This window comes from Homo sapiens, chromosome X (genome assembly GCF_000001405.40).
Source record: "Homo sapiens chromosome X, GRCh38.p14 Primary Assembly".
NCBI lineage: Eukaryota > Metazoa > Chordata > Mammalia > Primates > Hominidae > Homo > Homo sapiens.
This window is the reverse complement of record NC_000023.11, coordinates 108,358,619-108,373,766: the sequence shown is the minus strand read 5'-3', so window position 1 is coordinate 108,373,766 and position 15,148 is coordinate 108,358,619. Positions and strand designations below refer to the sequence as shown.

Below are 15,148 nucleotides of genomic sequence, written 5' to 3'. Positions count from 1 at the left end.
CTCTAGAGTAAATGAGCACTGAAGTGGGCTTAAGGTGACAGGCTTGACTGATGTAGAGGCCCTGCTTTGGATAGTAATGAACAAGATGAAGTGTGTAGGATGGACTGGGGGCTGGGGAGATATAACAGGCTTAATCAAGGAAGGAGAGAGACATAATCAGGGATGGGGGTGGAGTAACAGGGACAGGGAGACTGGAGGGAAAATAGTATTGCACTGGGATTCAGGAGACCTGGGTTTAGTCCTGATGCAAACTTCACCATTCTGTAGCTCTTTGACCTTTGGCTTGTCAGTTCCCCTCTTCAAACTTTAGGTCACGCCCTCCACAATTCAGGGTCAGCACTATGCAAAAGATTTCCAAGGAAGGCATTCTGGGATTTGAAAACTTCCTCAAGAGAAGTGAGCTTTAAATTTTAAATTCAGTCAAGCTCTCAAGTTTTCAGTAGACCTCACGGCTGAAAAGAAAGAGATTACAGAAGAGAGGGATGGACCTTATGAAGGCCCCTTTATTTGTCTTTTTTCCCTTTGTGTGAAGAATCGGGTCTTGCTATGTTGCCCAAGCTGGTCTTGAACTACTGGGCTCAAGCGATCCTCCTGCCTATGCCTCCCTAAGAGCTGAGATTACAGGCATGAGCCACCGTGCCTGGCTGAAGGCCCATTTATTAAGGCCCAGAACCAGCATAAGGAAAAGCCATATGAAGAAAAAAATATATGAGACAGAAAATTTTGTATCAAATGCATTAGATAGATATGTGGAAAAGAGTTATCATGTAGTAGAAAAAAACACAAGCTTTGGGGTTGAATAGACCTGTCTAAGGTATGAATCCACTTACCCACTTAGTTGTGATTGTGATTTCAAGCAAGTTCCTTAACCTCTCTGAACAAGAATTTTCTAATTATTAAAGTGGAATAATAATACTACATACTAAATAGGGTTGATTTGAAGACAAAATGAATTAATCTGAGCAAAGCACATGTGGCTTACCATAGCACTCAATAAATGGTAGTCATTCATAGCTTCCAATTACTGTAGCCCTCGTTTGCCTGGACTGTTTTGCTAGACAAATTAGCCTACACAAAGGGGACTCTTTAGCTCCTCCTTAGAGACTGAGCTTTTATCATCTTGAAATCGAGGTCTTCCATGTCAGTTTACACAACAGCAACCCCCTCCCTCTGACACTCTTAGACTTCCTCAACATCCCTCCCAGAAAACTGGTTTTGAGGCATCTCTGCTATTTTCAATTTGTCAGTATCTGAATCTGCCTGGTCCCAATCAGTCTAGATGTGGAGAGTTGGACTGCATTCTTATTTTCCAAGTGCCTTTGATTTTATTCTTGTGAATGTAGAGTTTTCACAGAGCACTGAGGAAGGCAAACAGCCCAATCACCCTTTTCTTCATTCACAGGGGCTTATTGGGGGCCTCTGCTAGGGTAAAGATTTCAGTTCTGTTACTCAGATATGTTAGGCAAAGATCTGTTTGGTGATTAGTTTTGATTAGATAGGAGTTTCACACAAAAGGGGGCTTGTGCATTTATTGTAGTTACTGAGATTAAGGGAGCTAGGTACTGCTGTGGGAAGCTGCCCCATTGAAAAGAGGGGCCATTCTTTGATGTTGAGAGGCCCGGCCTTCCCCAGTGAGAAAAATGACTGTTAGTCTCCCTGATTTTGCAAAGCACTTGAAAAGCGCTTTAACCAACTCCTTAGCTTTCATAATGCTTGTTTACAGGTAGGGGTTTAAGTCTGTGCAGGGGAAGCAAAATGGAGATTTCATTTTTCTTGTTTCCCATGATCTCAGCGGCAGCTCAACTTTTTTCTTCCTGCTTTTATTCTTTCTCTTTTTTCCATCTTTTACACTTAATCACACACTCTTCTTTCCCAGGTCCTATTCAGGTCTTTTTTTTTTTTTTTTTTTTCCTTCATATTGGACCTCTGTCATGCTACATTGATCCAACCCATACCTCTCCAGAGCACTCACACACTTTATTTATGTATTTGTTTGTTTGTTTGTTTATTGAGAAAGGGTCTTGCTCTGTCACCCAAGCTGGAGTGCAGTGGCACAATCATGGGTCACTGCCACCTCGACCTCCTGGGCCCAAGCAATCCTCCCACCTCAGCCTTCCAAGTAGCTGGAACTACAGGCATGCACAACCACACTGGCTAATATTTAAAAGAGTTTTTTTTTTTTTTTTTTTTTTATAGAGACAGAGTATTTCCATGTTACCCAGGCTGATCTCAAACTCCTGGTCTCACTCAAGTGAAAATTAAAGTATATACAGTTGTGTTTAGAATTTTTTTAATGTTTTAATAAGCTACAATACATATATAAGTTCTAATATATATGTGCAAATGTTTGCTGGTGGAATATGCAAGAAACTGGTTATCAAAGGTTTCTTCTGGGCTGTCAGCTAGTGGGAGACTTTTAATTTTTGTTTTGTACTTTTTTGTACAGTTTGAATTTTCTTACCATGTTCATATATTGCTTTTTTAAAGGCCAAAGGGGGTTTCTGGAAGATGAATTATCATTCTTTTTTTTCTTTTTGATGCTTTTCTATATTAAAAAAAACACAATAGATGTTATTTTAAAAAGGAAATCAATAAGACAGACCCTGTCTCAGTAGAGTTCGTAGTGAATGTGATAAACCAGAGAACAGATGCTTTACTAGATCCAAGAATAGAGGTTTGAACAAAGTTCTGAGGAAAGCATGGAGGAGAAACTGGTTCCATTTCTCCAAAGGTATCAGGAAAATGTCACAGAAGAGGTGACATTTGAGCTAAGTCTTGGTAGAGCACAGGACATTGGTGGGCAACATTCCAGGAAGAATGGATGGACCATACAAAGGCACAGTGGTGTGGAAGGCCATCGTTTATTCAAAGAGTGTTTATTGAGGTTGAAGACACATTAATATGTGTCTGCAGGTGATTATGTAAGGGAGATTGGTAAGTAATAACAACACATACTATGTGCTGGACGCTGGGCTAGGAGCTTTAATTTCTCCACCTCTAATCCTTAGAAGGGTGTTCAGGAATCTCTGGCCTTAAGAACAGCAGCAGTAGTAGAGACAGCAGCAGCCCAGAGTTTGGATGTGGACCAAATCGGGTTGCAATTATAGCAATTTGGTCTATCTAATCCTTCCTTAAAGCACTGTGTTGAGGTTTTAGAGAAGCTATATATAATGTCCTTGATGTATAGTCAGACCTCAAAAAAGTTAGCTGTTATCTCATCATTACCATTCCTTTTCTCCAAACTCCAGCTTAGTGCTGCATATACAGTAGCAAATCCCTACGACTGAATGATTGATGAGAGAGTTGATTAAGGTATATGGTAGGACATGATATGACAGGGATCTCACCTCCTATTTCTCCATCCGGTCCTTAGTACCAAGAAGTCAGAACATTTTGCCTAAGAGAACCTAGTACATACCATCTCTGAATTTGTGAGGAGGCAGAGCTCCAGGTACTTGAAGAAAATAAAGGGAGTTGTATATTCTCTCTGTGAAGATGATCACCCCCAAGGTTTTTAGACTACATGGATGACAGAATAAAAAGTAAAAATGAAAAACCATCAACACAAACCAAATTTAAGATAATGTCTCTTAGCTTCAATAAACAAGGCAGGATAATGCTAACACCAACACTGAAGCAGGAAGACCCTGAAACATGGCTGCTTTGTAGTGTCATGAAAATTAAAATGGGAGTTGGAAGTTCCCACTTTCATCTTTTAGCTGTGTGATCTTCAACAATGTTATTTCCCCCTTCTGGGGAAATGGTCCCTCTTTGTTATGGGAGTTAAGATTGGATTAGAGTTAGAGTCAGCAAACTGCAGCCAAATCCAGTCGGCCACCTGTTTTTATAAATAAAGTTTTATTGGAACACAGCCACTCTATTCATTTAACTAATATCTGTGGTTGCTTTCCCCCTGCAACAGCAGAGTTGAGAAGTTGTGACAAAGACTATATTGCCTGCAAAGACAAAAACATTTACTGTTTGGCCCTTTACAGAAATAGTTTGCTAACCTCTGATTGATGTGTAAGGTCCCTTCCTCCTCTGACAATCTGTGATATGCGTACTGCTAAAGACTTAATGTGTCAGACCATTTGCAATCCTTAGGTTCACCTGGAAACCTTTCATGAAATTTGGAAATACTCCAGAGGTCCCACCTGTATGTTTATTATTTTGTTTTTGTTTATTATTAATCCAAAAACGTTTTAAGGATTTGCTGTTTGCTAGGTACAGTGATAGTTCTGGGTTGCAATGGGGAGCAAACCAGACATGATCCTAGCAGTCATGGAGCTTAGAGTCTTCTGGAGGAGACAGTTTTTAACAGAACCTCCTCATATCTTTCACTTTGGAAAGCAAAGCCAACAAATTATTTCATGGTAGGTTGAACTGTCCAGGTTTACATTTGGGTTTATGAACACCTTTATTCATTCATTTATTAGTTTATTCTTTCATTCATTCAATATATACAGTCATGCACTACATAATGACATTTTGGTCAACAGTGAACCACATGTACGATGGTAGTCCTATAAGATTATAATGGAGCTGAAAATTTCCTGTTGCCTAGTGACATTATACCCATTGTAACATCATAGCAGAACACATTCTTTATGTGTTGGTCATGATGTTGGTGTAAACAAAGCTATTGCACTGCCAGTTGTATAAAAGTATAACACATATAATTATGTACAGCCATGATACTTGGTAATAATTATAAACTACTATTACTGGTTTTCGTATTTACTATACTATTATCATTATTGTAAAGTGTACTCCATCTACTTCTGAAACAAAAAAGTTTACTGTAAAACAGCCTCTGACAGGTCCTTCAGAAAGTGTTCTAGGAGAAGGCATTGTTATCATAGGAGGTGATAGCTCCATGTGTGTTATTGCCCCCAAACACCCACTAGGATGAGATGTGGAGGTGGAAGAAAGTGATGTTGATGATCCTGACCCTGTGTAAGCCTAGGCTAATGTGTGTGTTTGTGCCTGTGTTTTTAACAGAAAATTTTAAAAATTAACAAAATAAAATATTTTAGCAATAAAAAAACTTATAGAATAATATAAAGAAAAACATATTTTTGTACAGCTGTACAGTGTGTGTTTTAAGCTAAGTGTTACTATAAAATATTCAAAAGTCTAAAATATTAGAATTATATAAAGTAAAATAGAGTAAGATAAAGTTAACTTATTATTGAAGAAAGAAAATTATTTTATACAGTTAGAGTAGCCTAAGTGTACAGTTATAGCCATTGTAACATCATAGCAGTGGTGTAGTGTTTATGAAGCCTACAGTAGTGTACTGTAATACCCTAGGCCCTCACATTCACTCACCACTCACTTACCCACTCACCCAGAACAACTTCTAGTCCTGCAAGCTCCATTCATGGTAAGTGCCCTAGACAGGGATATAATTTTTTAAATCTTTTATACCATATTTTTACAGTGCCTTTTCTAGGTTTTGATATGTTTGGATAACAAATACTTACATTGTTTTATAATTGCCTGCAGAATTCACTTACTGCTATATGGGTTTGTAGCCTAGGAGTAATAGGCTATATCATATAGCCTAGGTATATAGATAGTAAGCTATACCATTTAGGTTTGTATAAACCTAAATGAAATTGCCTAACAACACATTTCTCAGAAGGCACCATGGTGGTTAAGAGACATATGACTATATATATAAAGTACTTATGTGCTAGGTGCTGGGCTGGGCTAGATGGAAAAATATACTAATGAAAAAAAAAAACAAAGTTTCTGTTCTCATGGACCTTAGATACATATTAAATTTTAAAATGACAAATAAGTATATAATTATCAACTGTTATAAATGCTCTGAAGAAAAGGAGCATGGTCACATGGCAACAAATAACAAGGGAATAAGATCTAGACTGATGACATCAGGGAGAAGCATTCCAGCTAATATCCGAAGGATGTGTAGGACCAGTAAATCGAGATAGTAGTACTGATAATTGTTTCCTTTCTTGGTTGATGAAAATGGAGCTTGGAAACATGTAAATTAGTATTTTTTCAATCTGAAGGTTGAAACCCATTTTGAAAAAATCAATTATATGGATCCTGACCAACATTTGTTTCCTATGCAATAGAATGGAATGGACAAGATTGAAATAGAATAGAATGAAAATTTCCAGTTGTTTTCTGGAAATAATTGTTTTGTAAAACTATGTAAAATGCATTTCCTCTCATCGTGGGCCTCAGTCCAGAAAGATCACTGACCCAAAAGATCTGCTTTGGCTCTATATAATTACAATTTGTCACATAGATAACAGCTTCTCCAGGTTCCTGTCTTTAAGACACGAGGGTATGTTCTGCAGGTACTTCCAAGCTTACCTTTGTGCTCTTTTCAGAGTAAGTGTAAGAGTGAGTGAGAGAACACCAGCCACCATTTACTGAGCACCTACTCTGGGACCAGACAGTGCACAAAGTACCTTTTGTACATTATACCATTTAATCCTCACAGTAATCCTATGAAATAGGCACAATTCATCATCTCATTATCAGATAATGATATTTGAGGTTCAGAGAAGTTAAGGCACTAGCCCAAGGCCACACAGCCAGTATATTTTTTTGCCTACATAATTAGTAATGAAATAAACACAAACTCAATTTGATATTCTCTGAACTTTCATCAGATTTGATAGAAATTAATCAGGTTTGAAACACTGGTTGAGAACCTGCTAGATTTCTAACACTTGTTTCATGATCTGAGTTCCGTAGAGCTTCAAATTAAGTCTATCCCTCTTCTCCTTTCTAGAAAAAGTATTTTCTAATTCCTGAGCTGCTTTGATGGAATTTTAACCCACTTAATTCCAATGTGGCCAAACACATTGTTTGCAACTGAAAAGAAAGAATGACACTGATGTCATACACTATTAGTCCCATAGCCCTGCAGATCTCCAAAAAAGAATCTGTAAAGAAGGGAATTTGGGGAACAATAGACTCCTATAGGGTCACAATAGGCAATATCAGAGTGATCAGCTCTCCAGGCTGGGAGATATAAATAAAAGGTGCATGGCAAGTGAAACTACAATAGCAAGGCCTCAGGGAGCAGAGTTTGATGCTATCATTTAGAGATTGGAACTGGTTCCATTTAATTTTCCTAAATGAAATATATTAGCAGGTGCCACCCCACATTTTTACTCCAGTAATTTCATTCTTCTTTAACATACAGTGAGAATGGTAGGGGGCAGGGAGAAACCCCTCAATGACTAAATAGAAAGAAATTAATAGCCTTTTGGGTCAGAGAATTATAATTCTGAAAGCAGATTTTCCTTAACCAGATAATGAGCTGCAGTTAAAGAGAAGATTGGAATAATGTGAAGATAATTTCATAAGTGCCCCTTTTCAGGACCCTCTGGTTTAAAGGGGCAATCTCAACATGATGTGATGCAAAATCACTTTGCAGTGGTAGTGATAAAAATTGGTTTTGGTACCGCCTCTAATCCAAATTTGGATAACCTTGAGAAAAGTAAATTCACTTCTGTGGAGCCTCAGTTTCCTCATCGTGTAAAATGGGGATGAAAACAAAACACCTGGCCCAACTCAGAGGGTTGTTGGGAGGATCAGGTGGCAAATACATAGGAAAAATATGTCTCATGAACTGGACATTTCTATACCAATATAAGGTATGAGAATGATACATCAAGTTCTTGCTTAAGAATGTACAATATAAAGTCCAAACTCCTCAGAAGACTTTTTGATGCAGCTAATAATCTGATCCCACCTAACCTCTCTAGAATTATCACTAATTATGCCTTTATTAGACCCCTCTGCTCCATTTCTGTGGTTTTCTTACTCTCCTGGAGATACTCTTTTTCCTGCTTTTGTTACTTTACTTATGCTCTTCTTCTTGCTTAGGTTGTCCTTTCCATCTAACTAAAGCAACTTGGAAGTGCACCTAGCTTAAGAAGTGCCCCCTCCAAGAAGGCTTTCTACACCTTCATCACTACTCAAAATATGATCCTCACACCTGACTATTAGAAATGCAGATCTTCAGGTCTTGCCCAGACTTACTGAATCAGCTTCTGCATTTTAACAAATTCCCCAAATGATTTCTTGGCACATAGAGTTTGAGAAGTGCTTTCCAGCCCACATTCGCTTCTCCCTTCTCTGGACTTTTAGGGCATTTAGCAGTGTCTGTCTTGCTACTGAAAACTATTGTTTTCAACTTTGAGATTGTAGGCACTTGGGAGGCAGCTATATATTTACTGATTTTGTGTTTAAGAAATTTTTTTACCTACTTTCAATACCACAGAGGTTTATTATGGGTCTTCTGTGTTTAAGCCACTGTGGGTACAAAAAAATGAGTAAGATGTAGTGCCTACCCTAAAGGGACTCAAGGTCTAAGAAATGGAGAAATTGCTTTCTTGCTTATTTCATTGCTTCCTTCCTTTCATCTATCCTTCAATATTTTATAAACATTACTCTTATTTCAGACACAGCACTAGTTGTTGGGAATTTGAGGATAGCTGAGACAAAACCTCTTATTTTGGGTCTAGTAAAAATACATATGACCATAAGCAAGTAAATTTACATTTGTTAATGCTGTAATAGTATTGCCTTGGGAGTGCAGTTGAGTGATTGATTTGGGAAATGAAGAAGTAGAAAAGGTTACAGAAAGAAATTAGAGTTGAATTTGGAAGTTGAGTACGAACCCTCAGGTAGACAGGGGTCTCCCATACAGAGGGAAGAGCATGCGCACATACACACTAAATACATACTATGTTTTATGTTTAGGGAATGTTGAGTCATTAGGTGTGGTGACATCATGGAATATGTGTGTGTTCTGGGGCAGGGGAAGTCTGGGTGGCTAGAAATAAGGCTCAAAATTAGGCTGGGATATTCCAGCACTATTCACCATAGCCAAGATATGGAATCAACCTAAGCGTCCATTAGCAGATGATTAGATGAAGAAAATGTGGTAATTAATGGAATACTATTCAACCAGAAAAAAGTGGTATACAATGGAATACTATTCAACCATAAAAATAATGCAATAATGTCTTTTGTAGCAACATGAATGGAACTGGAGGCCATTATCCCGAGTGAAACAACTCAGGAAGTCAAGTACCACACGTTCTCATTTATAAGTGAGAGCTGAAAAATGTGTACACATGAACCTAGAGTGTGGAATGATAGACATTTGAGACTCAGAAAGGTGGGAGGGGAGTGGGTGATGTAAAACTATTTAATGGGTACAATGCACATTGTTCGTGTGATGAATACACTAAAAGCCCAGACTTCACCACTCTGCAATATATCCATGTAACAAAACTGCACTTGTACCCCTTAAATTTATACAAATAAAAATTAAAAATTAAAAAAAATTAAGCCAAAAGTCACATTAAACATGTCCTATGTAACACTTACCACAATAAGGAACTTAGGTTGGTTTTTTTCCTTTCATTAGACAATGGGGAGTTCTCGGTGATTTTCAGATCTATTATCTCATAGCAGGTGCTCAATAAAACTTTCTTGAATAGATTGTGGAAGGAGATAAAAGGTTCTTCTCAAGGTTGTAGGCAAAGTGTTCTTTAATTTACTCTGAAATGAAGCTTGTTAAGAGGCTACTGTGGGCCAGTCGTGGTGGCTCACACCTGTAATCCCAGCACTTTGGGAGCCCTGGATGAGCAGATCACTTGAGGACAGGAGTTCAAGATCAGCCTGGCCAATGTGGCGAAACCCCATCTCTACAAATAATACAAAAAAAATTAGGGTGTGGTGGCACACACCTGTAATCCCAGCCACTCAGAAGGCTGAGGTGTGAGAATCGTTTGAACCCAGAAGGCAGAGGTTTGCAATGAGCCAAGATCGCACCACTGCACTCCAGCCTGGGTGACAGAGCAAGACGCCCTCTCAAGAAAAAAAAAGGTGGGGGGCTACTGTGATGAGAGAGGGAAATATGCCTAACTATGCATAACTTAATTAAGAGACTTCCCTATCAGAATGGCAAAATCAAAGCACAACTGCAAAGCCTCAGAACAAATTGATCTGAATAAAATGCAGGTTATTACGTCATCCAAACCCAGACAGAATGTCTGATATAAGTGAAGAATCTTTGAAATCCCCCTTTACAGGTAGCAGGCCTGTGAGTTTCTGGAAAGTGAAGGCAGAAGTACATGCACATGGTTTTGTTATAAACTTGCAGCTGTGAAGAAAAACAATTGTGCTTAGGGGTCTGGACAACCAACTTCCAAGCCATGCTCTTCTACTTACTAGTGGTGTAATTTGGGGACAAGTTATACCTGTGTTTGGGGGCTGAAAATACGCCCCTGCTACTTTTTATTTTTATAACCTGCTTTCCTATTTGAGGAATCTTGTATGAAACCACCAGGGCAAATGTGGTATTATATTACTAAATGCCCACTAGATTCTTTGCAGGAATTTACTGACTCAACTTTTGAGGAAGCTCTGAAGAGGTCCACATATAGAGATTTATGAGCAATTGTAGAATGCCAATTGATTCATAGAATCATGGAATTTCAAGGCTCAAAGGAAATGTGGAAGTAGTATCGCTTTTACCTCACCAAACCTCCTCTATAATATTCCTACCAGATAATAATCTTGCTTTGTGTTTGCCCCTTCCAGTACGACACACATCACCTCCAGCTACATACAGTCCACTCTCTCGTGTGCTAGTGCAATTCTCCTCAGCCACTCTGAGTTTTAGCAGTTCCATCCTTGTTTTGAGCTACTGTAATCTCACATTGCATAAATAGAAGTAAAAATAGCACAGTATCTAGACCAGGAGACTTCATTGTCTTGAATTCTTCTGCACTCAAGGGTAGATCATACCTCAAAGTTTAAGGATGGCTCTGGGGCATGAGGTTTAGCACATATGTAAAGCAACTGAGTTGTGTCCAGAAGAGAGTGGCTTAGGACATGAGGGCACAGGTGAAGAAAGTGGGGCTGTTGAGACTGGAGAAAAGACTCCTGGACAGGTTAGCTGTGTTTAAATATTTGAAGGGCTGTCATGGGGAAAAGGGATTTACCGTGTTCTACATTGGCACAGGACTAGAGCTAGGATCAATAGGTTGAAGCTCTAGGAAATAAATTTTAATTCAATATAAGGAAAAGCTGTCTAATAGTCTGAGTTCTCCAAAGGACCAATAAATAGGCCACCTTGAGAGGGAAGGAGTACCCAGTAACTGCAGTTATTTCAACATAGGCTGAATGCTTTTTAAAAGGACATTTTTGGATTGGGAGCCCAGCCCTCATGGACCCTTGGGTGGATCTTGAGATGTTCCCAAGGAACCTTGATGTTCCCTGGAATCACTTGAAAAGAAGTGGACTAGGCGACCTTTACAGCCCAGTTTATCCCTATGAGTACACATCAACATGCCTGTGATCCAGTTTATATATCAACATGCCCATGATCATGTATTAACATTTTACCCATCTGTTCAAGTTCTACCTTCTTGTAACCTACTCCTTTTTTTAAAATGTTTTGTTAAACTTATTGTAAGAGGAAAGATCCAAGCTGTCTAATAGATTGTATTCCTTTTGGCCTGGAGCCAAATGACCTGTGACCACTCCCTACAGGCAGGCAAAATAGTTATTAGAGTAATATGGATGGTATGTTATTTCACTTTCTATTCTCTTGAGCACACGTGCTCTCTCTGTCTCTGTCTCTGTCTCTCTGTCTCTCTCTCTCTTTCTCTCTCTCACACACACACACACACACACACACAAACTAGTTTGATGGAATTGAGATCTAGAGATGCCAAATGACTTGTCCAAGTTCATATAGCTACTTAATGTTAGATCTAGGAATGGAACCAGAACAATATACGTTACATTATTAATAGTGTGCCTTGAATTTCTGATGAGATTGTAAGCCCTTTTTCTCCTCTAATATATGCTCTAAATACTTACAGAGTTAATTAATTTAGAAGTGTGTGTTTGTGATAAATCTGTAGTTTCAAGATATACAACAACATCTGATGGTATTTATGACTCCTTTTATCTCAAATCAGTGAGGTTTCACTGGCCTCAGAAGCTGTGGTGATCTTAATACATGAGACTTAAGATGACTATGGGCATGCCTGTTGCTCCCAGGCTCTCTCTTGTGAAAAGATTCTGGGTTGTTCTTTATGTATACTGTCCACGTTTTATGACTTGGAAGTTCCATTCAGCTTCCTTTAAAATCCCTTGGCTAAAATCGAATGTTGTCCCAGGGATGACTTAGTGCACTGGGCCTAGGAGAGAGGGCTTCCTCTCTTGGATGGCTGAGTAGTTCCTTTAATCTATTTACCACAAGTGTTCATTGCTCTGAGGCTCTGGGATTCTTCAGGATGAAAGCCCTCTATAAATATTTGTTATTGTTATGATAACCAGTATGGCTTCCTGAGTCAGATAAATTTGTCTTCTGGCTTCTGCTTTTCATAGCTTCCCTCCCTATCCTTTTATTTCTCTCTCCAGATAACTTTTGTATTGGGGAAGTAATCTATTTGTGCAGTTAATTAAGCTGAGTGCAATGTGATAGACATTAGTGACTGTCCAGGTTGTGACTGCTAAGGGATGAAGGCCTTAGAGCTGAGGGTTCATACCATAAATATATATTTTCATCAACCAGAGGGAAAAAAATCCTTGAAAACAGAATTAAAAATGATAGCAGAAGAATAATTAAATATTGCATGGAGGGGTCATGGGGACTGGTTTCCACAAAATTAAAAATGGTAAATCGATGTTTGCAATATCCTGTAGACTATCATCATGATAGCTCTGACTTCCAGCCTCCTCTAAGATGATAGTCAGACTCTTTACAGGGAACACAGCCTTCCCTGATCTGCCCCACGCTAATTTCCCAGACTTACTCTTCACTCTAATGAATCATTCCCATTCCTCCTTGCTTATAAAATGACTCCACTTCTTAAAAGAAAACCCCCGGTCCTTCAAAGGTTAAAGTGTTGGCCGGGTGCGGTAGCTCACACCTGTAATCCCAGCACTTTGGGAGGCCGAGGTGGGCAGATCACGAGGTCAGGAGTTCGAGACCAGCTTGGCCAACATAGTGAAAACCTGTCTCTACTAAAAATACAAAAAAAAAGCTGGGCATGGTGGCAGGTGCCTGTAATCCCAGCTACTCGGGAGGCTGAGGCAGGAGAATGGCTTGAGCCCGGGAGGCGGAGGTTGCAGTGAGCCGAGATTGTGCCATTGCACTCCAACCTGAGTGACAAGAGCAAGACTTCATCTCAAAAAAAAAAAAAAAAAAAGGTTAAAGTGTCAACTCTCATGAAACTGCCCTGACTATACTAATCGCAAAACATCAATCTCTCTACTCCTTTTTCTGAAATCCTGTACTCCTCTCTGCATTCTCATGTGGCATGTCATAGTTTGGGGAAGTAAATTCTGGTAATCTTCTCAAGTGAGTCATTCTTGTCTCCCAAATATTATCAGTTTGTAAGCTCCTGAAAGACAGAACCCAATGCTTCTTTATATAATGTGTCCTTGTATTCCCAACAGCACCTTTTGCATAGTAAATACTGGATTAATTGTTTAGTTGATAACTTCATGTTTGAGGAGAGTCATAGTTGAACAGAATGGAAAAGGAAGACTCATAGTTGGATATTGACAAGAATGAAATTATGTGGGGACCTCAGCCATTGAGATGAAGGAAAACTGGATAGATCCCTGGAGTTTCGGATTATTTAGCAGTTGGGTAAGAAGATTAGTTGGTAGTACTGCACAGACCAAAACATCTGGTTGCCTCCAAATATGATCAACACAGCTGTTGGTGTACTTAGAATTACTTCTCTTCCAAGGTTAATGACTTTTGTCCAGCTGTGTCCAGTCTTCTAGCAGCTACTCAGAATATAGCCATTCTGGATCACATCTGTTGACTCTACACAAGTAAGAAATGTACACGGAACTTCTTTATTTCTTTAACTGCAAATATGTTATGTAGGCGGTATTACCCTGAAACTTATACTTCCTAAAGGCAAATTATGGCAGCCCCTATACTTTAACTTTCCTGAACATATAAGCATTTAAAATGAATACCATATATTTGCTCACTCACACCTGTCCCCCACTGTCTTGAATTCTGCATTGATACATTGTTCCCACTTCAAGCCAAGAACTTGTTTGTATTGAGTCCTGAAACACAAAGTAGGCACCTAGTAGGCACTTAATAAGTTTTGGCTGATTTAATTAAAGATCTGCTAAATAGAGTCTAAACACCAAACCACCTGTATTTAATTTTAAGAAGAAATGACCAGAGATAGACATAATCATGAATCTCCTGGTACAGGAAAGAGTATTACAGGAATAGTGTAGACAGTTATCCTTCATTACCTTGCAAGACAGGATAATAGGAAAAATACCTGCAATTGCAGCTTGCCTGAATTAGATAAGAAGGCAATATTAGCAGAATGATTAAAAACAAGGACTTTGGTGTCAGACAGATCTGGATTAGAGTCTTAGCTCCCGTCACTGATTAGCTGTGTGGCCTTCGGTAATTTACTTATTCTTTGGCCCTCAATTGTCTAATTTATAAAATGAGGATAATGATATGGCCTACCACATGGGATTGGCTTGAGGATAAAATAAAATGATGTAGGAGACTTTCACATTTTTTACGAGGTGGAGAAGGAGCCAGTGGAGAATAAAAGGTTGATGATACAAGAAAGGGAGAGAATAACTGATTGGCAAGGACTTGGAGATAATATCTTTTGAACACTATGGACAGATCTGCTTTCAGAATGGTTTGGAATTCAGCTCTGTCTTGAACCATATTCAAACTACTTATCTCTAGTGCAGATCCGGTCCCTAGGACTCTGAAGCTCTTTTCGATGTACTCCCTCTCCCTCATGCCTGCTCCAGAAGCACCACCCTCTAGAAAGGATCAGGACTCCTAGCTTTCCATTTCAGCCACCTTATTGTACCCATACCTTACCTTATGTTATGTTGCCAGCTTATAGACAGAATTCAAAAGAAAAGACTGCTGAAGAAAGCCTTTGCTTTATTATGTCTGCAGTCTTCTGAAGTTAAAAAAAATTCAGTTATATCATAACCAATAGAATGGGAAGAGAAAAATTTTTAAAAGTCATTATCAGCCAGGCACGGTGGCTCACGCCTATAATCCCAGCACTCTGGGAGGCTGAGGAGGGCAGATCACCTGAGTTCAGGA

At 39.0% G+C, this 15,148-nt stretch overlaps 1 protein-coding gene across 15 annotated transcripts in view, besides 2 other annotated features; it reads left to right on the top strand.

Annotated features, from left to right (window-relative positions):
* COL4A6 (collagen type IV alpha 6 chain) overlaps nucleotides 1–15,148 on the top strand; it is a 283,845-nt gene that overhangs the window by 65,692 nt on the left and 203,005 nt on the right. The gene's annotated exons all lie outside the window — the stretch shown is intronic.
* Nucleotides 6,660–7,199: an enhancer, noted in NCBI's record as "OCT4-NANOG hESC enhancer chrX:107609798-107610337 (GRCh37/hg19 assembly coordinates)". NCBI's record gives its function as "activates a minimal SCP1, AML or CMV promoter by ChIP-STARR-seq in primed H9 embryonic stem cells {active_cell/tissue: H9 hESC(primed)}" and the evidence as "EXISTENCE:reporter gene assay evidence [ECO:0000049][PMID:30033119]".
* Nucleotides 6,814–7,108: a silencer, noted in NCBI's record as "tiled region #7996; HepG2 Repressive non-DNase unmatched - State 24:Quies". NCBI's record gives its function as "represses a minimal TATA promoter and a strong SV40 promoter by Sharpr-MPRA in HepG2 cells {active_cell/tissue: HepG2}" and the evidence as "EXISTENCE:reporter gene assay evidence [ECO:0000049][PMID:27701403]".